The following is a 25,436-nucleotide window of genomic DNA, read 5'->3' on the forward strand; positions in this document are numbered from 1 at the left end:
GGTGAAATCACAGGTCACCACAGCCTGGACCTCCTAGGCTCAAGTGAGCCTCCTGGCCCCACCTCCCAAAATGTGGGGGTTTCAGGTGGAAGCCAGCACACACAGCCCATTTTTCATTTTCCATTGGCAAAAATCCAAGTTTGATAACCTACCTATAAGAAGATGGGTACTCTGTACATTTCCAGAACAAATAAAGTGGTCTAACACTTGGGAGTGTTTGGAAGAATCTGCCAAAATTAAAATGCACAAATCTGGCAGGGTGTGGTGGCTTATGCCTATAATCCCAATACCTTGAGGTCTAGGCAGGAGGATAGCTAGAGCCCAGGAGTTGAACCAGCCCAGGCAATAGGAACTGGGGCCATATGTGATAAACGTGCCCATGAACAGCCACTGCACTGGCCTGGGAAACAAGAGCACGGCCTCATAATTATTGGGGAGGAGTTGAGAATTGAGCACAGCGGGGAGAAATGGGAGTTTGTTGTCTGAGTAGTCAGCAGTTATTCTCTTCTCTCATCCATGTACAGTTTAGCACTGACTTCTTCAGGGACGAGTGAGAAAATGCCACCACTTCACAATGGTAGAGGGTGGGTGAAAAAGTTATTAGCCAGGCACCAAGAACCAATCTGAAGCCAAGAACAGCAATGCAAAGCCAACAAACTAGCTCTCTTGTAGACACCACTCCCTTCCAATCCCATTCTCTACTAAGGAAAACCCCCAGGTGAGCTGGCATGGTCAAACTACACCTTCAGGTAGGTAAGAATTTTTTTTAAAAACCAAAAATTAAAAAAAGAGACACAAAATGTAGTCAGCTATTTAATTAGGTTCTTAAGACATTTAGAACACCAATTTGTGAGGATAAATTCCATTCGTCAGAGCAAACACAGATCGCAGGTAGCCCTGGAGCTGAGGAATAGCTTTGATTTTTGGTAAAATTTGTGAGTCCACAGCTTTCTGATCAATCTTGCGCTGCTCCGTAATCTCATATTTCTAAATAAAGAGAAAATCAAACATTTTAAAACAGGCACATACCAAATTACTTGTAGGTCAACTAAGGAGTCCTGTCTCACAAGTACTAATCCCCAAGAATATTTAGAAAACATTAAAGACAATTTTGACAATCCTTTCCTTGGAATGCTGTGAAACACAACCCATTTTTTAATGTAATAAAAGTAGCTCTTAAGCTTTTGTATACTTTAGGACACATCAAGGATAAGTAAGGGCACATTCCCAATACGATGGTAGCAGTTAATTCCCACACAATTCCACCAAACTTTAGGATTCTAAGTTGAGCTCCCAGACTGCCAAAAGAACTACTCAATTTAGAAGAATCTGGAATACTAAGTATCTCCCAGCATTCCTCATTATTTAACCTTTCATTTTTCTTCTTTTTGTGCAACCTGTTTCTTTTCACTCCCAGGTAGAAGGGCCAGTGCTAACACAGGAGATGACAAGTAGAAACTTACCTCTTTTTCTGTGTCGAAGATCTCACCTTCCTGGTGTCTGGGCTTCCGCAGCTTCTTCTTCTTGAAGTAAGCATCAGTAAGATGTTTTGGGATTTTTACATTGCTGATATCGATTTTGGTTGAAGTGGCAATGACAAATTTCTGGTGTGTTCTTCGTAGAGGAACTCGATTGAGGACCAGAGGTCCTAAGGGGGAAAAATTAATTTAGCAAGGAAAAGGGGGAAGAATCATCATCCTGCAATTTAGGTGACCATTACTTGTTATGTTGCTACACAAAGAAGACCACTTGTCTAACCCACTTGCACACAAGGCAATGAAATGGGCCTCAGACACTTGTGGCAATAAGTGTCTACCATGTAGGCAGTAGCAAACAAACGTGTATACTGCAAGCATTTAAAAATGGAAGTTTCACAGAACATCACAATCCAAGGATTTTCTTACCAGTCACAAGTAATAAGCCACTAGCCAGCTGCTTCAGGAAAACCACCCTCTGTAAGTTAAAAAGAAAATAATTAGTTTTCTGCAATTAAAAACTGACTTCTGAATTCATAAAATCACAGGCATCTAAATTTGGGTAAAGGAAATTTCTACATGTATATGTATACAGCTCGGCAGTTCTGGAAGCAACCACAGCAAGCTACTAAGGTAGTACTCCAGACATAAACACGTTTTTGAGTAAATGAACATGTGTAACATAATCAACAGCAGGAAATGGCTAATAAATCACCATGGATTACACTTCTTATTTGCAACAACTAAGTTGTATCTTGCAGATCATTTCCCCTTGCCCCAAACATAGGTAAATAAAGGAAAAGTACACCTAGCGTGCAAACGCATTGCCACCAGGCACCCCAGGCAGCTGCAGTGAAGCGCCCCAAGCACAGGTACTCTCACCTTGCCCCTGTGGCGTCCAGTGAGGATGATCAGAATGGTCCCGGGGGTAATGCTGGCTCGCAGTTTTCTCACGTGCTGACTGAAGGGTTTTTTGCCGTGGCTCAACAGCTTTCGAGGCACATCTTCAGTAGGATAATATCTAGGCTGTGGAGAGTCCATAGATCCAACTTATTTAAATAAGCCATTCAGATTACTAGAAGCAAGCTATGTCAGCCAAACTTTTGCTACAGCCTTTTTATTTTAAAGTATAATACTGTATTTATATGATTCCATTTTCATTTCTGCTAAGTAGACTTGGAAAAGGTCAATTATGCTTCTGCATCCTGTGTGCAAAAAAGGAGACACCATTTAATGAATGAGATGTGTGCTCAAGCAAAGAAAGCATCAAGCAAGTCACCTTTGCAATCTTGAGCAAAAACTAAACCTCAGAGATTACACGTGTGACATGCCACATTTTGCAGATTAGGGATACATGGCTTGTTTTCCAATTCAAGTAAAGTGTGTCCATATCCTAGCCACTTCATCTGATCCTCACAGCAACAAGTCTTACTCCCACTTCATCCACAAAGGAAAACAAATTGCATAAAGCCAGACACTAGGACTGGCAGATCATTTATTGCAGAAGTTAGACACCATGCAAGGGCCATTAAAGACATGACTACAAATAACTCACAATAACCTATTTCCAACTATACCATATCATTAGTGCAGTCTCACTTTCACCACAAACATGATCACCTAATGGGAAAACGAGTTCACAAAACAACTGTCATCTTCCCTCTCATGCAGTAATCTTCAACTGTGAAACTGTATGGTGTTAACTTATTTGGGAATGTTCCCATAATGAAAATTACAGAGCAAATCCTGAGATTACATTGGGTCTTGTGTGTGGTAAAGGGGGCCAAGAAACACTGCTCTAGTGGGAAATGTTCTATAGAACAGGCTATGTATTATTTCATTTAATCTCCATAAAAACTCTTTGAGGTAAACCCTCATTCCCATCTTATCTTTTTTTGAGATGAAGCCTCCCTCTGTCGCCCAGGCTGGAGTGCAGTAGTGCAATCTCTGCCTCCCGGGTTCAAGCGATTCTTCTGCCTCAGCCTCCAGAGCAGCTGGGACTACAGGCACGCAACCAGCTAATTTGTATATTTTTACTAGAGATGTGGTTTCACCATGTTGGCCAGGCTGGTCTTGAACTCCTGACCTCAGGTGATCTGCTCGCCTCAGCCTCCCAAAGTGCTGGGATTACAGGCATTAGCCACCACACTCAGCCTCATTCCCATATTATATGCAAAGGAACAAAGCACAGACGAGTAATTTAAATTACTTAAGATTAACAGTAAATGTTGAAGCCAAGTTACAAACCCAGAGCCCTTTATTTTCTATCAGAAATTCTCCGGTATGCAGAAACTTACAGTATCTAAGTATTCAAAAACATCTTCACAGTATTCAAGCATAAACAGAAAATCCAATTTACAGTCCCCACATCTTACCATTTTGCGAAGTTTAACCACCCGGGTACCGCCGTTCTTGTCACCACCAACTGGTTTTGTAACAGTTGCGAGAACCTTCTCCTTCTTTTTCTTTTCAACCTACAAGGACACAAATGCATCAACAGTAAGAGAATGCCAATTAAGGTTAAGACATAATGGTCCGTGGTCCTCTTCCCTTACCTTGGATTTAGCGGCTGAGTACTTCCTCTTGTACATGGCCTTTCTGGAATACATGGCAGATCGGGAATACCTGCCAATTCCTCTGACAAGGACAGGGTTGCGGCTGCAATGGGGCTTCCCCTTCTTGGGCTTTTTAGCTTTGAGGTTACCCTTTTTCACCTTGCCACCAGCATCAACCTTCTTGGCTTCGGGTTTCTTCTCTTTAGTATCTGGCTTCTCAACTTTTTCACCCGCCATCTAAAAATATTTTTTTGTAGATAAAAAAAGGCATTTCACCAGTCATCTCTCTAACAAGACAATAATGAACCTGTACATGAATGGGCTGGGCTCCCCAGACTACAATCCCTCCCCCGGTAAGATACAGGCCTTCCTCTCAAACTCTACCCATTCTACTCCAACCTTCACTATGACTCATTTGGGGTTTGTCTCCCCAATACACTATAAACTTTTTTTTTGAGAATTTGAAACTACCTCACACCTATTAGGTTTTTTGCCAAATACTGAGCGGTCAGAAGTCCGTACAACCATTATTTTTTATTACTGTTTTGCGAATTAGAAAACTTAGATGCAGAATGTGTCCACAGGTTAGAAGCACCAAGACCAGAACTTGAAATCCCTTACTTTCAGTACCTTTCGTCTTAACCCTTAAGACCAGTGTCTCTTTTCAAGAAACTCGATTTAGGAATTGCGGACACAAACGGAATCAGCCCAAATTGAGCCAGAGAAAAAGATCGCAAAGACCAAGAGGCGACTTCCGGTCGGGGACGCTGGGAGACGCGAAACCTTTTGGCTTCAGTGCGGAACCCCAACGTGGCTGCGACAGGCTCAGTGTCATCCTCTGGAACCCAGGACCAGGAACACAGTGCACGCGCCGTCTCCCCGCTTCCTCTAACACCCACCAGTCTGCTACGGGTCCCCGAAAGGGCCTCGTTCCCCCAGCCCAAGAGAGTGGCGAAGAACCGGAGGGAGCCACTACGGCATTCTACCTCACCCTCTTTGTGCCCTGCCGCAAACCCAAACAACAAAAATGAAGCGTCTGGAAGGCCTCTCAGTTAGCCTTGGACATGTCCGACCCCTGTAGGTGTCGACTGGATGCCCTCCAGGTTCGGATGGCGAAGGATTGGGAGTCCTGAACTCAAGTCTTGCAGACAGGCCCGCGATTCTTACCTTGCAAGATGGGAAAGAGAATTAAGGTCCCGGCTTCCGGTCTATAAGCAATCATGGGAAGTGCGAGTCTCACTTCCTTCCGGATCTGGGGCATCATGGGGAATGTAGTATTTCCCCGTTAAGAAAAAAGTAGTAAATCCTAGGCCGGGTGCGGTGGCTCACGCCTGTAATCCCAGCCCTTTGGGAGGCCGAGGCAGGAGGATCCTCTGAGGTTGGCAGTTCGAGACCAGCCTGGCCAACATGGTGAAATCCCGTCTCTACTAAAAATACAAAAGGTAGCCGGGCGTGGGTGGTGCGTGTCTGTAATGACAGCCAGTCGAGGCGCGGAGGCAGGAGAATCACTTGAATCTGGAGGTGGAGATTGCAGTGAGCCAAGATCGCGACACTGCGCTCTAGGCAACAGAGCAAGATTCTCAAAAAAGAAAAAAAAAAAAAAAAGGGCCGGACACGGTGGCTCACGCCTGTAATCCCAGCACTCCAAAGATCGTGCCACTGCGTGCCACCGCACTCCAGCCTGGGAAATAGAGCCAGACTCAGTCTCAAAACAATAACAACAACAAAAAAAAGAAAAAAAGAAAAAAAATTAGCCGAGTGTGGTTGTTAGTGCCTGTAGTCCCAGCTATTCGGGAGGCTAAGGCGGGAGGATCACTTGAGTCTTGGAGGTCTGGGCTGCAGTGCAGTGAACTCTAATCTTGTCACTTGAGATTAGGTCAGTGGTCCCCTCTTCCCTTACCTTGGATTTAGCGGCTGACTACTTCCTCTTGTACATGGCCTTTCTCATTCCCGTCCTCCGGCCTGGCCTACAGAATGAGACTCTGTCTTAAAAAAAGTAAAAAAAAATTAAAGTGAGGATAACAATAGTAACTTACTTCATAAGGATGTTGGGAACATTAAATAATATATACAACAGTACTGAGAAGCATATTTGATTATTTGATGGATGGTAAATGCTACATAAGTGTTAGCTCTTTTTTTTTTTTTTTTTTTTTTTTTTTTTTTTTTTTTGAGATGGAGTCTCGCTCTGTCACCCAGGCTGGAGTGTGGTGGCACGATCTTGGCTCACGGCAACCTCTGCCTCCTGGGTTCAAGTGATTCTCCTGCCTCAGCCTCCCAAGTAGCAGGGATTACAGGCGCACACCACCATGCCCAGCTAATTTTTTGTATTTTTAGTAGAGACAGAGTTTCACCATGATGGCCAAGCTGGTTTTGAACTCCTGACCTCAAGTAATCCACCCGCCTCAGCCTCCCAAAGTGCTAGGATTACAGGCGTGAGCCACCGCACCTGGCGAACTGTTAGCTCTTGTTATTGTCACCATCACCACTACAATCATCTGATCATCAACATCCTAGTTGTTGTCAAGTATTCTGCTAAAGTTTATGCATGGGAGATAATAGGCAATATTGCATACAATGTGCCTTGCTTTATTTCATTTAATTCTCCCAACAACCTGTGAATGATACTATTATGAGGAAACTGAGTCTCAAGGACATTAAGTAACTTGCTCACAGCATAGATCTGATTCCAAAGATTGCACTCTTAACCATTAGGCTGCAAGATTAAAGAGATGATTAATGAAGATGCATGAGAGTTTTGCTCATGTTAGAATTAAAAATAAGAATATTTATTATCTTTTACAAAATACACAACACAGTATATGTGATAGTTCTTTACTGCTTCAAAGCCCTTAAGCCAACATGTACACATTTGTAATACCTTCTAGCTTGCGTTTTCCATTTTCCTCCATTCGTTTCTTTCTGGTTGCTAGAGCTTTTCACCTTGATTTTTTCAGATCGAAACCACCTGCTTCATGGCTGTGTCTCTGGGAATCATTTAGCCTTTTTCTGGTTCTGATTCACTGAGGATACAAATACAATGATCAGATGAACACTGCCCTTTTTTTTGAGAATGGGAATGTCAGCAGCTTTATTTGTTTAGCTTCCTCAGCAAAGCACCTCTTAGAAACTTCAACTGCAGAAAATGTACCACAATGAATGAATGAGATGCACAGTTGCTTACGTGGGCCCCTCAAAATTGCTGGCAATCTCAGATAATTTCACCTAGTGAACGCCCCAAAATATGTGTTGAATGACCTGTCATTAAAATAAAAACGTAGATGAACCCCCTCTTGTGTTTTGTTGCGGTATTGCAAAATTTACAATTCATTAGTTGGGCAAAATACCATGTTAGTTATAAAGTAAATGTTTTTATTAAGTTTAGTTTTGCCATATATAAAATTCTCTGAAATTTGTGCAGCACTTTAATCACAAAGCAGACATTTTTGCAGACACTTAATCTTTTTTTTTTTTTTCTGAGATGGAGTCTTGCTCTGTCGCCCAGGCTGGAGTGCAGTGCCGTGATCTTGGCTCACTGCAACCTCTGCCTCCTGGGTTCAAGCCATTCTCCTGCCTCAGCCTCTTGAGTAGCTGGGATTACAGGTGCCCGCTACCACACCTGGCTAATTTTTTTTTTTGAAACAGAGTCTTGCTCTTTTGCCCAGGCTGGAGCGCGGTGGCATGATCTCGGCTCACTGCAACCTTCGCCTCCCGGGTTCACGCCATTCTCCTGCCTCAGCCTCCCGAGTAGCTGGGACTACAGGCGCCCGCCACCATGCCTGACTAATTTTTTGTATTTTTAGTAGAGGTGGGGTTTCACTGTGTTAGCCAGGATGGTCTCGATCTCCTGACCTCGTGATCTGCCCGCCTCGACCTCCCAAAGTGCTGGGATTACAGGCCTGAGCCACCTTGCCCGGCCAATTTTTTGTGTTTTTATTGGAGACAGGATTTCACCATGTTGGCCAGGCTGGTTTTGAACTCCTGACCTCAGGTGATCTGCTCACCTCGGCCTCCCAAAGTGCTGGGATTACAGGCGTGAGCCACCTCGCCCAGCCTAATTTTTTTTTTTTTTTGGAGACAGAGTCTCGCTCTGTCGCCCAGGCTGGAATGCAAGGTGAGATCATGGCTCACTGCAGCCTTGACCTCCTGGGTTCAAGCAATCCTCCCACCTCAGCCCCCTGAGTAGCTGGGAGTACAGTGCACACCACCATACCTGGCTAATTTTTTTACATTTTTTGTAGAGACAGGGTCTCACAATGTTGCCTCAGCTGTATTTTTTGTTTGTTTGTTAGGCAGTAAATCTTTTAAAGCCTGGCCAACATGGTGAAACCCCATCTCTGCTAAAAATACAAAAATTAGCCAGGCATGGTGGTGCATGCCTGTAATTCCAGCTACTTGGGAGGCTGAGGCACGAGAATCACTTGAACCCGGGAGGCAGAGGTTGCAGTGAGCCGAGATTGTGCCACTGCACTCCAGCCTGGGCCACACAGTGAGACTCTGTCTCAAATAAATAAATAAATAAATAAATAAATAAATAAATAGAAAAATATCTTTATATGTGTTATGTATGTGTGTGAGCCTGTGTATGGGATGAGTTTGTGTGTTTGTATATGTATAAAGTGTGGAAAGACATACACCAAACCATTAACACTGCTGGGGATTGGGATATGGAGTACGTATGCATCAAGGAACAGAGAAAATTACTGTTTGTTATTTAGTTTGTTGCAAGGAACTTGTATTGCTTTTGTAATTGAGAAAGAAATTCAAATAAAGTAATGGCTATTATCTGAATTAATCTCTAAATGAATATATCTTTTTAAAATTAAGATGGAGTTGGCCGGGTGCGGTGGCTCACGCCTGTAATCCCAGCACTTTGGGAAGCCAAGGCAGGTGGATCACGAAGTCAGGAGATCGAGACCATCCTGGCTAACACGGCGAAACCCCGTCTCTACTAAAAAATACAAAAAAATTAGCCGGGCATGGTGGCGGGTGCCTGTAGTCCCAGCTACTCGGGAGGCTGAGGCAGGAGAATGGTGTGAACCCGGAAGGCAGAGTTTGCAGTGAGCCGAGATTGTGCCACTGCACTCCAGCCTGGGCGACAGAGTGAAGACTCCATCTTAAAAAGTAAATAAATAATAATAATAAAATAATTCAGATTGAGGTTTTTTTGTTTTGTTTTGTTTTGTTTTGTTTTTGCTATGTTGCCCAGGCTGCCAGTCTGGTCTCAAACTCCTGTCTCAAGAGATCCTCCTGTTAGCTACCATGCCCGGCCATATAAATGAATATGCCAGGCACTACTCCAGGCATATAAAGATGGGAAGACCGGCCGGACATGGTAGCTCATGCCTGTAATCCTAGCACTTTGGGAGGCGGAGGCAGGATGATTGTTTGAGCCCAGGGGTTTTAGACCAATCTGGGTAACATGGCAAAACCCTGTCTGTATTAAAAAAAAAAAAAAAGGAAGACAATGACTTTGTCTTAAAAGGAGATCATAATCTAAAGAAAGACACAGAACAACAATGACAGAACCCACAATGATGTTGAAATGTGTTAGGTGCTGATAGAAGCATGAAGAGGCAGCCCCAGGAGCATAGGAAAGGAGTCTCTCTTTTATTCTCAAAAAGTGAAAGAATGTTTTCTGGAGGAGCTGCTTAAGTTGGAGTTTAACCTTGCATGACTGTTTTCCAGGTGGAGAAGGGTTTGAAGAGTATTCCAGGCAGTAGGAACTAAATTTTGGAAGACAGGGATGCAAGAAACAGCTAGAAGCCTTTAGAAACTGCTAGATTATGTGAGGGTGTTGGCACAGGCCATATCTAGAACGGACTGATGTGCTAAGGGAAGGAGTTCAACTTAATGCTAGAGGGTTTGAACCTCCTTCATACAACAGGGGAGGGGAGTGACGTGATTAGATTTGTATTTTTAAAAGATTATTCATTCTAGCTGCAGAGTGTGCAGAATATAGGAAACACTAGGAAGGTAGTAGTTCCTGCACTCAAAGAGCTAATAGTTTACTTTGGAAAAGAGACAAATGATAGCCAGCTTTTATCAAGTGCTGACTTTGCCAGACACTGTTCTGAGTATTTCACAAACCTATCCTATGGTAGGATTTTGATTCCTACTTTGCAGAGAAGGAAACAGACACAGAGGAGTCAAATGACTTGCTTATAGACACCCAGGCAGCTAGATCAAGAACTTAATTGGCAGCCAGGCGCCGTGGCTCACGCCTGTAATTCCAGCACTTTGGGAGGCCGAGTCGGGTGGATCACGAGGTCAGGAGATCAAGACCATCCTGGCTAATGCGGTGAAACCCTGTCTCTACTAAAAAAATACAAAAAATTAGCCGGGCGTGGTGGCAGGTACCTGTAGTCCCAGCTACTTGGGAGGCTGAGGCAAGAGAATGGCGTGAACCCAGGAGGCGGTGCTTGCAGTGAGTCGAGATCACGCCACTGCACTCCAGCCTGGGAGACAGAGTGAGACTGTCTAAAAAAAAAAACAAAACAAAAAAAACCCACAAAACTTAATTGGATGCTTCCTATATGATACGGCTCTTAGATTTATAGTGTAGCATGTTAGGTTCTAAGGATAGGTGTCTTGGTGACCATCTGACCTGCACTAGAGAATCGGGTGAGGCTTGTATTCCAGAGGAAGTGGCTCCTAGCCTGAGATCAGAGGCATAGAGTTGATGTGGAGGACAGTCAGGAAGAACCCTCTGGGGAAAGAAAGCAGATTGTTAAAAGGCTCTACGCTGGGAAAGAATATGGCATATTGAGGGGAGCTGAAAGTCATTCAGCATGGCTGGGTCATAGAGAATGAAGCGAGTAGTGGGGAGACGGGGTGGTGAAGTGATTGGGGACCAGAGTTAAAAAAACTCTGGTGCATTGGCTCACGCCTGTAAATCCAAGGCCTTGGGAGGTCAAAGTGGGAGGACTGCTTGAGGCCAGGAGTTCAAGGCCAGCCTGGGCAACATAGCAAGACCTTGGGTCTAAAAAAATTTTTTTAAACTTTTTTTTGGGCCGGGCATGGTGGCTCACGCCTGTAATCCCAGCACTTTGGGAGGCTGAGGTGGGTGGATCACTTGAGGTCAGGAGTTGGAGACCAGCCTGGCCAACATGGCGAAACCCTGTCTCTACTAAAGATACAAAAAAAATTAGCTGGGCATGGTTGTGCGTGCCTGTAATCCCAGCTACTTGGGAGGCTCAGGCAGGAGAATTGCTTGAATCTGGGAGGTGGAGTTTGCAGTGAGCCGGGATTGCGCCACTGCACTCCAGCCTGGGTAACAGAATGAGACTCCAACTCAAACAAAACAAAAAACTTTTTTTTTTTTGTAGGGACAGGGGTCTTACTCTGTTGCCCAGGCTGTTCTTGAACTCTTTGGGCTCAAGAAATCCTCCCACCTAGGAGTCCCAAAACACTGGGATTACAGAGGTGAGCCACCACATCCAGGGGGATAAACCTTTTTTTTTTTTTTTTGGACTTCATTCTAAAATCAAGGAGAAGCCATTGGTGAATTCAATGTAGGGAGTGACTAGTTTTGCAGTTTTTTTTTTTTTTTTTTTTGAGATGGAGTCTCGCTCCGACGCCCAGGTGGGAGTGCAGTGGCGCAATCTTGGCTCACTGCAAGCACCACTTCCTGGGTTCAAGCAATTCTCTTGCCTCAGCCTCCTGAGTAGCTGGGACTACAGGTGCCTGCCACTGCACCCAGCTAAATTTTGTATTTTTTTTTTTTTTTTTTTTTTTTGAGACAGAGTCTCGCTCTGTTGCCCAGGCTGGAGTGCAGTGGTGTGATCTTGGCTCACTGCAAGCTCCACCTCCTGGGTTCACGCCATTCTCCTGCCTCAGCCTCCCGAGCAGCTGGGACTACAGGTGCCCACCACCACGCCCAGCTAATCTTTTGTATTTTTAGTAGAGATGGGGTTTCACTGTGTTAGCCAGGATGGTCTCGATCTCCTGACCTCGTGATCCGCCCGCCTCAGCCTCCCAAAGTGCTGGGATTACAGGCGTGAGCCACCGCGCCCAGCCCTAAATTTTGTATTTTTAGTAGAGATTGTGTTTGACCATGTTGGCCAGGCTGGTCTCAAACTCCTGACCTCAGGTGATCCACCCACCTTGGCCTCCCAAAGTGCTGGGATTACAGGTGTAAGCCACCGCACTTGGCCACAGTTAATTGTATTTTTAGTAGAGACGAGGGTTCACCATGTTGGCCAGACTGGCCTCAAACTCCTGACCTCAGGTGATCCACCTGCCTTGGCCTCCCAAAGTGCTGGGATTACAGGCATGAGCTACCGCGCCCCGAGTGACCCGCCTAGTTTTGTAGTTTAGATTACTCTGGCTACTATGTGGAGATTGGATTAGGAAGTTTAGGCCTGCAGGCCTGAGATCAGTTAAAATGTAGCTTGTCATCTAGCTGGCCAGGATTTAGGGAGAGGGACAACTGCTTGTTAAATGGCTCTTATGTGAATTAAATTGGCATATATTAAAGGTGATCTTTGTAAGGAGCACATGATGCTGAAGCAGTTAGCACACAGTATGAGACTCACTTGTATATGAATGAAATGGGCAAGCATTAAAAAAATGAGGATTTTGGAGCTATACAGATATGGGTTAAACTTATGGCTCTGCCATTCACTAGATCTGTAGCCTTTATTTATTTATTTTTGAGAAAGAGTCTCACCCTGTCACCCAGGCTGGAGCGCAGTGGTGCAGTCTGGGCTCACTGCAACCTCTGCCTGTCCGGTTCAAGCAATTCTCCCACCTCAGCCTCCGGAGTAGCTGGGACTACAGGTGTGCGCCACCAAGCCCGACTAATCTTTGTATTTTTAGTTGAGACGGGGTCTCACCATGTTGGCCAGGCTGGTCTTGAACTCCTGACCTCAAGTGATCTGCTCTCCTTGGCCTCCCAAAGTGCTGGGATTACAGGCGTGAGCCACCACGCTCAGCTAGATCTGTAGCCTTCAATGAGTCATATGCGCATCAATCAAGTAAAAGCTCTACTCTTCTCAATCTGGTCTGAGCTACCATTATTCCCAGACCAGAATACTATAGTATTCCGTATTTTGACTGGCTTCTCTGTTTCTGGCCTTGCTCTCTTGCTCGAGCTTCACAGAGTGTCCAAAGTAATACTTCCGTACCACCCGGCCCGGCTTTTTTTTTTTTTTTTTTTTTTTTTTTTAAGAGACATGGTCGCACCATGTTGCCCAGGCTGGTCTTGAACTCCTAGGCTCAAGCAATCCTCCTGCCTCAGCCTCCCAAAGTTCTGGGATGAAGGCGTGAGCCACCATACCTGGCCTGAGTGCAGTGGCGCGATCTCGGCTTTCAGCAGCCTCGACCTTCCAGGCTCAAGCAATCCTCTCACCTCAGCCTCCCGAGTAGCTGGGACTACAGGCGCGCGCCACCACGCCCGGCTAATTTTTGTATTTTTTGTAGAGATGGGATTTCACTATTTTGCCCGGGCTGGTTCCCAACTCCTGGACTCAAGCGATTCGCCCGCCTCAGCCTCCCAAAGGGAAGTGCTGGGATTTCAGGCGTGTGCCACCGCTCCCACCCCAAAGTAGTATTTATTGTAATTATTATTATTATTTTGAGACGGAGTCTCGCTCTATTGCCAGGCTGGAGTGCAGTGGCGCGATCTCGGCTCAATGCAACCTCTGCCTCCCGGGTTCAAGCGATTCTCCTGCTTCAGACTCCCAAGCAGCTGGGACTACAGGCGCCCCCCACCACGCCAGGCTAATTCTTGAATTTTTAGTGGAGACGGGGTTTCACCATGTTGGCCAGGATGGTCTCGATCTCTTGACCTCGTGATCCGCCCACCTCGGCCTCCCAAAGTGCTGGGATTACAGGCGTGAGCCACCGCGCCCAGCCTATTATTATTTTTTTAGGCAGTGTCTTGCCCTGTCGCTCAGGGTGTAGTGCAGTGGCGTGATCACGACTCACTGCAGCCCCGACTTCTCGGGCTTAAGTTATCTTCCCGCCGCAGCCTCCACGCCCGGTTAGTTTTTTGCATTTTTTGTAGAGATGAGGTCTTGCTTTTTTGCCCAGGCTGGCCTCGAACTCCTTGGCTTAAGCGAACCTCTTGCCGCAGCCTCCCAAAGTGTTGGGATTACGGGCGTGAACCACCGCGCCCAGCCTACTATCTTTATCTTACAGAAAGAAAAGAATGGAGGAAACCGAGGCTCGGAGACAGTAGGTAATTTCCCCAAGGTTCCACAGCTAATGAGTGGAGCGGCGATTTGTGGAACGAAATGAATGAAATCGATGTGGCAGCGGGCCCGGACGGGTCGGTGGCGTAGACGCGGAGCGCGCAGCTCACACCTGGCGGCCGCGGTTTCCAGGAGGAAGCAAGGATGCTTTGGACACTGTGCGTGGCGCCTCCGCGGAGCCCCCGCGCTGCCATTCCCGGCCGTCGCTCGGTCCTCCGCTGACGGGAAGCAGGAAGTGGCGGCGGGCGTCGCGAGCGGTGACATCACGGGGGCGACGGCGGCGAAGGGCGGGGGCGGAGGAGGAGCGAGCCGGGCCGGGGGGCAGCTGCACAGTCTCCGGGATCCCCAGGCCTGGAGGGGGGTCTGTGCGCGGCCGGCTGGCTCTGCCCCGCGTCCGGTCCCGAGCGGGCCTCCCTCGGGCCAGCCCGATGTGACCGAGCCCAGCGGAGCCTGAGCAAGGAGCGGGTCCGTCGCGGAGCCGGAGGGCGGGAGGAACATGACATCGCGGAGGTGAGGAGCCCCGAGGGGCCCGGCGCGGGCCTCGGCCCGGCCACCGCCGCGTTCGGTTAGCCCCGTCCGGAAGGGGGCGCCCCGGCCGGGCTTCGGGCTCCCGCCCCGGGTCGGGGTTGGGGGCCGGTTCCCTCCTCGTCCCCTCGCCCTCCAGGGGCCGGGGGCCGGCCCCACCGCGCCCCCACCCCTCGGGTCCCCATTCATTTCCTGCCTCCCCGAGTTCCGGCTGCGGCAGCCCCGGGGATGCCCGTCAGGCCCGGGGCAGGTAGAGCCGCCGAGGGAACCACGGGTGCCAGCGGCCAGGCTCAGCGCCGCATTCCTGACCCATTGCCTCATGAGAATTGCCTCATGGTGATTCCGAAATAACCCTGCTCACTTGGGGAGGCTCCTTGGGACACGAGAGGGGAGTTGCGCGGGGCCGGGCCCCCAGTGGTCTAGTCGTTCTGGCTCACTGTGCCACTTTCGTGCATTTGGGGACTTCACGCAGGACCCCTGACCCTTTTATATGCCTCTTTGTGTCTTCTTTTCCTCCTACCCCTCACGTGCCAGAAATGGAAAAACTGACTGTATCTGCAGCCACTAGAAGTATTTCCTTCCTCTGCGATCTTCGCTTTGGGAGATGGAAAGGAAGGGAGCCGCATCTCGTTATTTAATCCTTCACTGCAACCTTAACAGTCAGGTCACTTTACTGGTACCCGTTTTATGGATGAGGAAACCGAGGCCCAGAAGCAACATGCTAGTAAATGACAAGATTTGAAACTTAGGAGGATTAGTGAGTTAATGAGATCCTTTGAAAGGTCAGGGTAATACTACTACTAATAGCTAACATTTGCTTAGTTCTGACCACAGCCCTATCAGATGGCTACTATTATCCCCATTGTAAAGATGAGTAAACCGAGTTTCAGAGGTTAAGTAAATTGCCTAACCTCACAGCTAGTAGGTGGTGGAGACAGAATCCCTACTTTTAATCACTATGTTGCTTCTATTATTTTGTAACTATTGCTAACCATTTGTAAGCCTTAATTTTGTTGTCAAACAGTAGTGTGACCTGTTGTTTTCAGATAGTGATCCTGCTATTTTGTATAGTCACTCTATATACCACTCACACTTAAGACCCATTGTCTATTCTTTTCCATGATTGTTCAATTATGGTCACTGTCTCAGACATTTAAAAAACGATTCAAGCTATTGAGGCTATTTGAATGAGATTTTCTTTTCTTTTTTTCTTTTTTTTTTTGGAGACGGAGGCTCACTCTGTTGCCCAGGCTGGAGTGCAGTGGCGCAATCTCGGCTCACCACAATCTCCGCCTCCTAGGTTCAAGCGATTCTCCTGCCTCAGCCTCCCAAGTAACTAGGACTACAGGCGCACCACTATGCCCGGCTAATTTTTGTATTTTTAGTAGAGACAGGGTTTCACTATGTTGGCCAGGCTGGTCTCAAACTCCTGACCTCGTGATCCGCCCGCCTTGGCCTCCCAAAGTGCTGGAATTACAGGCGTGAGCCACCGTACCCAGCCTGAATGAGATTTTTCAAAATATTAGGAATGTCTCCTCCAAACACACCTGGCATGTTATTCATACATGGATCTGGAATTTAAAAAGGGGAGAAAAAGAAAACTGAGAACTCGTAGGAAGTGAGTGACTTGGACAGGTCGGTTGGCAAGTGCTTACAGATCTGGGTAATATATAACTGCATTTCAACAGAACAGTGTATAGCCTCAAATGTTCTAATTCTTTAGGGAGCTTTTAAATAAACAGTTGTCTATTCTTTAATCTGTCAAATAGTCATTGAGCCTTTTGTTCCTGGTGTCTGCTCTTCCAGACAAGTAAGGATCTGCTGCTTTAGGAGACATCAGACGGGGCTGGGGGTTGGGAAAAGGTCTGGGTAGTAATAGACCCTACATTGTCCAGTTTGTTCATTTAGAAGCATAGAAGTGTGGGCATAGTCAAAGTAGCAAGTGGTAAAGATGACAGTTTGAAATGGAGTAATTCCTTCTCCCCTCCAGCCCTGGTATTATGCACCACCCAAAAAGCCGGGTTATGAACATAATACACATAATTTTGAATGATTCATTATTTTTTGGATTATAAGCCTGTTTTATTTGTTAACCAGCCTTAATGAGGTATAAATGACATGCAATTAATTGCATATATTTAAATGTACAATTTGATCAGTTTTGACATACATATACACTTGGGAAACCACCACCATAGTCAAGATAATGAACACATCTATCACCCCTGGTAATTTTGCCTTATGTTCTTTATAATCCTTCCTTTGTTCTTAGGCAGCCACTATTCTGCTTTCTGTCACTATGTATTAGTTTGCATTTCCTAGAATTTTATTTTTAAAAATTTTAAAATTGTTTGAATAGAGATGGGGTCTCACTGTGTTGCCCAGGGCAGTCTCAAACTCCTGGGTTCAAGTGATCCTCTCACCTTGGCCTCCTGAAGTGTTGGGATTATAGGCATGAGACACCCTGCCCAGCCCTAGAATTTTATTATTATTGTTATTATTGTGTTTTTTTGAGATAGGGTCTCACTTTGTTGCCCAGGCTGGAGTGCAGTGGTGCAATCACTGCAGCCTTGTTTTCCTAGGCTCAATCCATCCCCCCTCCTCAGCTTTCCGGTTACTGGGGCTACAGGTGTGCACCACCACACCCGGCTAATTTTTGTATTTTTTTATAGAGACAGGGTTTTGCCATGTTGGCCAGGCTGGTCTCAAACTCCCGGGCTCAAGCGATCTTCCTGCCTCGGCCTCCCAAAGTGCTGGGATTACAGGCATGAGCTATTGCGTCCCGCCTTCAAATTACTTTAACCTAGTATTAATTCATTCAACAGGAAGTTAATGAGCCAGGCAGGATAAAGCAGTAAGATAGGAAAATATTGCTATTTTCATGGCTGAGAGAGAGCAGACAAACACATGACTAAATAGGGCAATTTCAGGTAGTAATAAATTCTAGGAGGGAAAAAATCCCACAGAAATGTGAGGATGGGAGAATGCAGTTAGTTTTGATAGGTGGTTTAGAGAAGGTGATCGTGTGAGCTGACACCTGAATGACAATTAGTAGTCTGAATTTTGTTTTGCTTAATTATCAAAATAACTCCTCTTGGGTTCGGCTTTTATATGCATCCAGTAATTAAAATGTAAGTATATTCAATGTACTGATATCTCTCAGCATCATAGGTAGGAAAACTAAGGCATTCAGCAATTAAGTGACTCCTCCCTTGATCATGTAGCAGTGATAGTACTGGATTTAGATTTTGAGGTTGCTTCTCTGCCCTTTTCTGCCTTTGTGAAACCAACAAAGCTGCCTGTATTTTCCAACTCTTCCTTCAGCATGTGGTACCTCCTTTACATCTGTTTTTGTTGCTCTGAAATCCATACGCGACGATGAGCTGAGAGGGGCAGAAAATTGAGCTTGTTCTGAGACTGGAGGCTTTTGGTTTATCTCTTGCAGGTCAAGTACATTTTGTCCTGGGCTCTCCCTGGTGGCCACGTTTGTTTATCTCCTGCGGGAGTAAATAAACTTGCCTTGCTGAAAAATAACAGTTCTGTGTCTTTGCAGTGGAAACTGGGATGTCTTTATTAACGTTAGGTCCTGATGTAAGGCCAAGTTTTTGGTTAGAGTTGCTCAAGTGCAGAGGCCACTGCTAAGATGACTTACCCCTCGTGTCCATGGTCAATGTGGAGACTGTTATGAGTGGCACATGATGCTGGAAAAGCAGAGCCAACTCATGTTTGTAATTGTCCTAGCAGGCCGTGGTGTACTTTGTTAGGCAGCCACAGAACAATAGAGAAACTCAGCTTATTCCCCTTCCCTCTGGGAAACACAGACAGTACTTGCCATCCAACGCCAATGTTTTTAAGGAAGAAAGAGGCAAAAAGTGATGTTGGCAAGGTCTCTGGGAGTTGTGGACCCCAACCAAGGATTGGAGACCCTGAAATGGATTCAGATGCCCTAAAATGCAGCCCAGTTCATTACTATGAATTTTGGAGGACTTTGTGCCTTGAGCAAATGTGTATATGTGACGCTCTTTGACAACACTGAAATAGGAAAAATACTATCCATGTTCGCGAGGAGCACTGAATTTAGAGAGGGAGACAGACTTTTATGCCAGCATCAAATGAATTTGATAAAGCTAGTACCAAAATGAAATTTGAAATTTTTTTTTTTTGAAATAGAGTCTTACTCAGTCACCCAGGCTGGAGTGCAGTGATACAATATTGGCTCACTGCAACCTCCACCTCTTGGGTTCAAACAATTCTTGTGCCTCAGTCTCCTGAGTAGCTGGGATTACAGGTGCGTGCCACCATGTCTGGCTAATTTTTATATTTTTAGTAGGGATGGGGTTTCACCATGTTGGCCAGGCCGGTCTTGAACTCCTGGCCTCAAGTGATCTGCCCACCTTGGCCTTCCAAAGTGCTGGGATTATAGGCATGAGCTACCACACAAGCCTGAAATTTGAAATGTATTGGTATAGAATATACTGTTTAGAATGTATGTGTATATATGTATATTTGTATACTCATATAAACACAAATACACATTGTATGTGTTTCTGTAATATGTATATCTGTCTACACATACATGTATATACACACATACAATGTCTTTTTTTTTTTTTTTTTTTTTTGAGACAGGGTCTTACCCTGTTGCCCAGGCTGGAGACTGCAGTGGCATAATCTTGGCTCACTGCAGCCTCGACCTCCTGGGCTCAAGTGATCCTCCCATCTCAGCCTCCTGAGTAGCTGGGACTGACTACAGGCACGTGGCATCAAACTTGTCCAATTTTTCTATTTTTTTGTAGAGTTAGGGTCTTGCTCTGTTGCCCAGGCTGGTCTCAAATTCCTGGGCTCAAGCTGTCTGCCTGCCTCGGCCTTCCAAAGTACTAGGATTACAGATGTGAACCACTGTACCTGGCCTTTACAATGTCTATTTTAAAGATAATGGTTCAAGTTTTTATCATCCCACTGGCCTACTCTAATGAAACATCTATCCATTCATTGAAGAATTATTTATGGTGGGATAACTCTGTGCCAGGTACCGTGCTAGGCATTGAGTATTCCAGGTTTTAGGAAACAGCACATGCAAAAGTGCTGAAGTGGGAGAAGATCTCGGAGTGATTGAAGGCTAGGAGAGAGCAAGTGTGGGAGCTGTGAGGCTGGGAAGGTGGGAGGTAGGTGGGAGCAGACCACATAGGGATTCTTAATGTCTTTAGTGTCATGTGGACCATGGAGAGGAGTGTAGATTGTATTTTTAGAGCAATGCAAAATCATAGAAGGATGTGATCGGGGGAGTGGCATGAGCTGATCTATTTAAAAATATTTCTCTGGCTGCTGTGAAGGAAGGATTGTAGGAGGCAGGAGTAGATTCAGGGAGATGAGACAAGTGATGAGAGAGGCTTTGAACTTGGGTAAAAGTAGTTTGTGGAAAGTCTTTTTTGGAGGTAGTTTTTGTTTATTGCCTTGTCATCAAAGCAGAGATGCTGACCAATGAAACTCCATGAGAAAATAGTGATTTATAAAGACATATCTATGCACTGCCATTAAAAAGCTGCTTGGAAAAAAAGGATAAAAAGCTGCTTTAACAACTTTTTTTTTTGAGATGGGGTCTTACTCTGTCACCCAGGCTCACGACCTCAGCTCACTGCAACCTCTGCCTCCCAGGCTCAAGCATTCTCCCACCTCAGCCTCCCGAGTGGCTGGGACTGCAGGCACACGCCACCATGTCAGGCTAATTGTGTGTGTGTGTGTGTGTGTGTATGTGTGTGTGTGTGTGTGTGTGTGTGTGCTGGGACTGCAGGCACACACCACCATGTCAGGCTAATTGTGTGTGTGTGTGTGTGTGTGTGTGTGTGTGTGTGTGTGTGTGTGTGTGTGTATGTAGAGATGGGGTTTTGCCATGTTGCCCAGGCTGGTCTCAAAATGTTGCCCAGGCTGGTCTCAAACTCCTGAGCTCAGGTGATCCACCCGCCTCGGCCTCCAAAGTGCTGGAGATTACAGACGTGAGCCACTGTGCCCACCTAACAACTTTAAAAAAATTTTGACATTTAGTAGGATATTTATTGCATTATTGTTGAGATGGCAAAATATTGGAGACAACTGAAATGTTCATCAGTGGGGGGGGCTAGTTAAATGAAATACAGTGTAGCATGCATTAGAACACTTTTCAAGAATTTAACTTTTTTTGTAGCCTTTTACTTATAATGCTTGTCCCTATTGATGCCTTTTTTTTCAGCATGACTTACTCTTTTACTATAGGATATTAAAATTTAATTAGATTAGAAATGAGGAATATTCTTGTAATCTGTAGAAAGTAACAAACTATAAACTTATTCCCCAAGAACAAATATAATAATTTTTCTGGAGTAGCAGGTAAGAAAGATATAAATTTATATGTATACAAGAAACTGAAATTAGACTTTATACATTTAAAGGTTACAAGTGCAGTTTTATTACATGAATGTATTATCCAGCATTGAAGTCTGGGCTTTTAGTGTAACCAGCACCTGAATAACATACATTGTACCCATTAAGTAATTTCTCATCCCTCAAACCCCTCCCACCCTGAAATTAGACTTTGGATCCCTAGTTTAAATTCCACCCCTCTCTTTTTTTGAGACAAGGTCTCACTCTGTCACCCAGGCTGGAGGGCAATGTTGCAATGATAGCTTACTGTAGCCTCAACCTCCTGGGCTCAAGGGATACACCCTCCTCAGCCTCCTGAGTAGCTGGAACTGCAGGCGTGCACCACCACATTCAGCTAATTTTTTGATTTTTTTATAGAGATGAGGTCGGAACTCCTGGGCTCAAGCGATTCTCCCCAAGTGCTGGGGTTACACACATGGGCCACTGCCCCCAGCCTAAACCTCCTTTCTCAGTATAGCAGCCTTGAGATGAAGTTCCTGAAATTACTGGCCAGCTTGACTGTTTCCCCACATCACTGGAGGAGGGGGATGCATAGATAAAACAAAATATTCAGCATCATTGTATTTTCTTTTTGTTTCATCAGCATCTTTTTTTAAAACTCACTTGACATAAGTCCCTAGCCTCAAAGAGTAAAGCCTTTGCAGAATCTGCATTCAGATTTCGGGTGTGATTTCCTGACAGATAGTTCAGGTTTGTAAACTCTTTTTTTTTTCTTTGAGACAGAGTTTCACTCTTGTAGCGCAGGCTGGAGTGCAGTGGCACCATCTTGCCTCACTGCAACTTCTGCCCCCTTGATTCACGCGATTCTCCTGCCTCAGCCTCCTGAGTAGCTGGGATTACAGGCATGCGCCACCACACCTGGGTAATTTTTGTATTTTTAGTAGAGATGGGGTTTCACCATGTTGGCCAGGCTGGTTTTGAACTCCTGACTTCAGGTGATCTACCTGCCTCAGCCTCCCAAAGTGATGGGATTACAGGTGTGAGCCACCGCAGCCGGCCAAAACTTTGTTTTTTTTCCTCTTTTTGTTGCTGAGAAATGTAAACTCTTACAGACACAAATTATGTCTCCCATTTTTTAAAACCCACTCAACACAGGGGTCATGTGTAATAGGCCCTGGAGCTTATTTTAGACATTGATTTGAGGCTCTTTTCCCCAAGTGCTGGTTTGTGTGTGTGTGTATGTGTGTGTAAGTCTTTCTATGAGATGAGTGGTACCTACCTGGGCTGTGTGATCTTTTTTATTTTATTTATTTTATTTTTGTAGATACGAGGTCTCACTATGTTGCTCAGGCTGGTCTTGAACTCTGGGGCTCAACCTATCCTCCCTCCTTGGCCTCCTAGAGTGCTGAGATTACAGGTGTGAGCCACTGCACCTGGCCAGCGATCCTTAATAAATATAGATAATGGCCGGGCGTGGTGGCTCACACCTATAATACCAGTACTTTGAGGGGCCGAGGCTGGCAGGTCACCTGAGCTGAGGAGTTTGAGACCAGCCTGGGTAACGTGGGTGAAACCCTGTCTCTACAGAAAATAGAAAAATTAGCCAGGTGTGGTGGTGCATGCCTGTAGTCACAGCTACTTGGGAGGTTGAGACAGGAGAATTGCTTGAACCTGGAAGGTGGAGGTTGCAGTGAGCCGAGATCGTGTCTTTGAACTCCAGCCTGGGTGACAGAGTGAGACCTTGTCTCAAAAAAAAATATAGATATAGGCTGGGCGTGGTGGCTCACACCTGTAATCCCAGCACTTTGGGAGGCCGAGGCGGGTGGATCAGGAGGTCAGGAGATCGAGACCATCCTAGCTAACATGGTGAAACCCTGTCTCTACTAAAAATACAAACAATTAGCCAGGCCTGGTGGTGGGTGCCTGTAGTCCCAGCTACTCGGGAGGCTGAGGCAGGAGAATGGCGTGAACCCGGGAGGTGGAGGTTGCAGTGAGCCGAGACTGTGCCACTGCCCTCCAGCCTGGGCGACAGAGCGAGACTCTGTCTCAAAAAAAAAAAATCTATATATCTATATATCTATATCTATATAGATATAGATATAGATAATGCCAGATGATGGCTGGTTAGAAGGGATTGTCAGGGGCTGGCAGGTTTTGCAGGTGTTAGAATGAGCAAGATGAGGAGAAGGATGCTTACTTCCCTCTCCTTGTAACTCTCTACCCCCTCCCCTCAGTGTTTTTTTATTTTTATTTTTATTTATTTATTTTTTTTGAGACAAGGTCTTGCTCTGTCACCCACACTGGATTGCAGTGATGCAATCATAGCTCATTGAAGCCCAAACTCCTGGGCTCAAGTGATCCTCTTGCCTCAGCCTCCCAAGTAACTGGGACCACAGGTGCGTACAACTATGCCCAGTTAAGTTTTTCATTTTTTATACAGACGGGGTCTTGCTATGCTGTCCAGGCTGGACTTGCACTTCTGGCTTCAAGTGATTCTCTTGCCTCAGTTTCCCAAAGTGCTGGCATTATGGGCATAAGCCACTGTGCCTAGCCCATCAGTGTCTTTTTATCCTTTACTCCTATCAAAATTCATTCACTCAGCAGCCATTGATCAAGTGCCTACTATATACATGTTGAGGACTGGAAATTTATTTGTCTCTTCTCATCTTATCTGGACCCTCTGTGTTAATTGTAATTAACTGTAATCATTCTGTATTAATTGTAATAAACTTGTTGATAAACTCAAATGAGGCCATACCGTTTTGCCACTTCCCCTCCTTCCAGGTTATATGGATGTACTTACATTGCAGGTTTCATTTGTTGGTTCAGTTTTTAAACTAAGCCCTATTGTGTCAAATTATGCTAGGTGTGAGATGGGGAGTTCAAGCTGTGTGTTGTCTTTTTTTTTTTTTTTTTTTTTGCCTCACTTACTAATATACAAGCGCTTATAACCTTTGAGGCTGGCCCTATACATTAAGATTTTTATTAATTCCACTGTTCTTTATCTTCTCTTACTAAGTTCTCAGGGTCGAATGAACTCTAACTGCTCCTTGCTAGTGATAAGCAAGTTGCAAATTACAGAATTGTCAGTGATTGAATACACGTATTAAACCTGTAACTGGGAAGCATTTTTGGTAATTATGAATACTTTTGGAAAAAAAAAAGCTATGGAAGGAAAGTTTAAAATCTACGAAAGCTCAAGTAGATGGTCATGGAATAGCTATTTCAATTTCTAACTATATATTACTTATTTATTTATTTATTTTTGAGACGGAGTTTAGCTCTTGTTGCCCAGGCTGGAGTGTAATGGCGTGATCTCAGCTCACTGCAACCTCCACCTCCCGGGTTCAAGCTATTCTCCTGCCTCAGCCTCCCGAGTAGCTGGGATTATAGACATGTGCCACCACGCCAGGCTAATTTTGTATTTTTAGTAGAGACGGGGTTTCTCCACATTGGTCAGGCTGGTCTCGAACTCCCAACCTCAGCTGATCCGCCTGCCTCGGCCTCCCAAAGTGCTGGGATTACAGGCGTGAGCCACCGCGTCCGGCCTCTTAACTATTGTTTGAAATAATGTAGAGACAGCTCCAGAGCCATGAAGAAGTGTATGAAGAAGCAGTGTTAGCTTAAATGACATACATGTCACAATTGCCTATGTGAAACTATCATAATTATGCATGAGAAGTATCTATCCTGCATAACCTCCACCAATAATAATAATGTTAATAATAGTGAAAACTAATGTTTATTAAGTCCTTACTGTCTCCAGCCTCTGTGCTAAATACTGGTTACTAAGTTTCCCTGAAAATACTATTCTCATCTGTTTGTTCTTAATAACAGGATAGCATAATTGTAAGTTGTAAATGAAATAATACAGTTTATGTAATAAAAGGGTAAAAGAGAAGACCACCTACCTTATCTTCTGTTGCTGATCTGGATGGATGTAGGTGGTGTTTACCTAGTTTCACCTTTGGCAGTTGAAACTACTTTTTTTTTTTTTTTTTTTTTTTTTAAGAGACAGGGTGGGCCAGGCGCAGTGGCTCACGCCTGTAATCCCCGCACTTTGGGAGGCTGAGGCGGACAGATCACTTGAGGTCAGAAGTTCGAGACCAGCCTGGCCAACATGGTGAAACCCTGTCTCTACTAAAAATACAGAAAAATTAACTGGGTGTGGTGGTACACACCTGTAATTCCAGCTACGTGGGAGGCTGAAGCAGGAGAATCGCTTGAACCCGGGAGTGGAGGTTGCAGTGAGCTGAGATTGTGCCACTGCACTCCAGCCTGGGTGACAGAGCAGGACTCCGTCTCAAAAAAAAAAACAACAACAAAAA

The 25,436-nt window shown here is 45.4% G+C and overlaps 2 protein-coding genes across 16 annotated transcripts in view, besides 9 other annotated features; one reads left to right on the top strand and one right to left on the bottom strand.

Annotated features, from left to right (window-relative positions):
- Nucleotides 1–791: 791 nt before the first annotated feature.
- Nucleotides 792–14,446, bottom strand: RPL6 (ribosomal protein L6). Of its 11 annotated transcripts, XM_047429302.1 has the most exons (10): nucleotides 14,339–14,446; nucleotides 10,638–10,739; nucleotides 6,912–7,053; nucleotides 5,931–6,016; nucleotides 4,031–4,267; nucleotides 3,851–3,949; nucleotides 2,358–2,501; nucleotides 1,905–1,953; nucleotides 1,464–1,648; nucleotides 792–987 (listed from the first exon to the last, which is right to left on the bottom strand). In XM_047429302.1, exons 5-10 carry the CDS (start codon nucleotides 4,265–4,267, stop codon nucleotides 835–837), a joined length of 867 nt encoding a protein of 288 aa, XP_047285258.1. In that variant the 5' UTR covers nucleotides 5,931–6,016; nucleotides 6,912–7,053; nucleotides 10,638–10,739; nucleotides 14,339–14,446; the 3' UTR covers nucleotides 792–834. The 11 variants fall into 11 exon arrangements, with proteins under 11 accessions (XP_047285258.1, XP_047285259.1, XP_047285260.1 ...); XM_047429303.1 differs by lacking the exon at nucleotides 10,638–10,739 and having other exon boundaries at nucleotides 5,931–6,012; NM_001320141.2 differs by lacking the exon at nucleotides 10,638–10,739 and having other exon boundaries at nucleotides 800–987.
- Nucleotides 4,847–5,026: an enhancer, noted in NCBI's record as "active region_7049". NCBI's record gives its function as "activates an Ori minimal core promoter by ATAC-STARR-seq in GM12878 lymphoblastoid cells {active_cell/tissue: GM12878}" and the evidence as "EXISTENCE:reporter gene assay evidence [ECO:0000049][PMID:35858748]".
- Nucleotides 13,115–13,763: an enhancer, noted in NCBI's record as "H3K27ac-H3K4me1 hESC enhancer chr12:112855308-112855956 (GRCh37/hg19 assembly coordinates)". NCBI's record gives its function as "activates a minimal SCP1, AML or CMV promoter by ChIP-STARR-seq in primed H9 embryonic stem cells {active_cell/tissue: H9 hESC(primed)}" and the evidence as "EXISTENCE:reporter gene assay evidence [ECO:0000049][PMID:30033119]".
- Nucleotides 13,764–14,411: an enhancer, noted in NCBI's record as "H3K27ac-H3K4me1 hESC enhancer chr12:112855957-112856604 (GRCh37/hg19 assembly coordinates)". NCBI's record gives its function as "activates a minimal SCP1, AML or CMV promoter by ChIP-STARR-seq in naive H9 embryonic stem cells {active_cell/tissue: H9 hESC(naive)}" and the evidence as "EXISTENCE:reporter gene assay evidence [ECO:0000049][PMID:30033119]".
- Nucleotides 13,764–14,445: a biological region, named in NCBI's record as "H3K27ac-H3K4me1 hESC enhancer GRCh37_chr12:112855957-112856604".
- Nucleotides 14,186–14,445: an enhancer, noted in NCBI's record as "active region_7050". NCBI's record gives its function as "activates an Ori minimal core promoter by ATAC-STARR-seq in GM12878 lymphoblastoid cells {active_cell/tissue: GM12878}" and the evidence as "EXISTENCE:reporter gene assay evidence [ECO:0000049][PMID:35858748]".
- Nucleotides 14,412–15,059: an enhancer, noted in NCBI's record as "H3K27ac hESC enhancer chr12:112856605-112857252 (GRCh37/hg19 assembly coordinates)". NCBI's record gives its function as "activates a minimal SCP1, AML or CMV promoter by ChIP-STARR-seq in naive H9 embryonic stem cells {active_cell/tissue: H9 hESC(naive)}" and the evidence as "EXISTENCE:reporter gene assay evidence [ECO:0000049][PMID:30033119]".
- Nucleotides 14,412–15,065: a biological region, named in NCBI's record as "H3K27ac hESC enhancer GRCh37_chr12:112856605-112857252".
- Nucleotides 14,433–14,784: a silencer, noted in NCBI's record as "fragment chr12:112856626-112856977 (GRCh37/hg19 assembly coordinates)". NCBI's record gives its function as "represses an EF-1alpha promoter that drives an FKBP-Casp9 reporter gene in an ReSE screen in HepG2 liver carcinoma cells {active_cell/tissue: HepG2}" and the evidence as "EXISTENCE:reporter gene assay evidence [ECO:0000049][PMID:32094911]".
- Nucleotides 14,496–15,065: a silencer, noted in NCBI's record as "silent region_4886". NCBI's record gives its function as "represses an Ori minimal core promoter by ATAC-STARR-seq in GM12878 lymphoblastoid cells {active_cell/tissue: GM12878}" and the evidence as "EXISTENCE:reporter gene assay evidence [ECO:0000049][PMID:35858748]".
- PTPN11 (protein tyrosine phosphatase non-receptor type 11) overlaps nucleotides 14,558–25,436 on the top strand; it is a 90,972-nt gene continuing 80,093 nt past the window's right edge. For all 5 annotated transcript variants that reach the window (NM_001330437.2, NM_002834.5, XM_011538613.3 and 2 more), the window contains exon 1: nucleotides 14,558–14,736. In NM_001330437.2, the coding sequence (NP_001317366.1) occupies nucleotides 14,723–14,736 (14 nt within the window). In that variant the 5' untranslated portion in view covers nucleotides 14,558–14,722. The remainder of the gene's footprint in view (nucleotides 14,737–25,436) is intronic.

The sequence above is a fragment of the Homo sapiens genome, chromosome 12 (genome assembly GCF_000001405.40).
Source record: "Homo sapiens chromosome 12, GRCh38.p14 Primary Assembly".
Taxonomy (NCBI): Eukaryota; Metazoa; Chordata; class Mammalia; order Primates; family Hominidae; genus Homo; species Homo sapiens.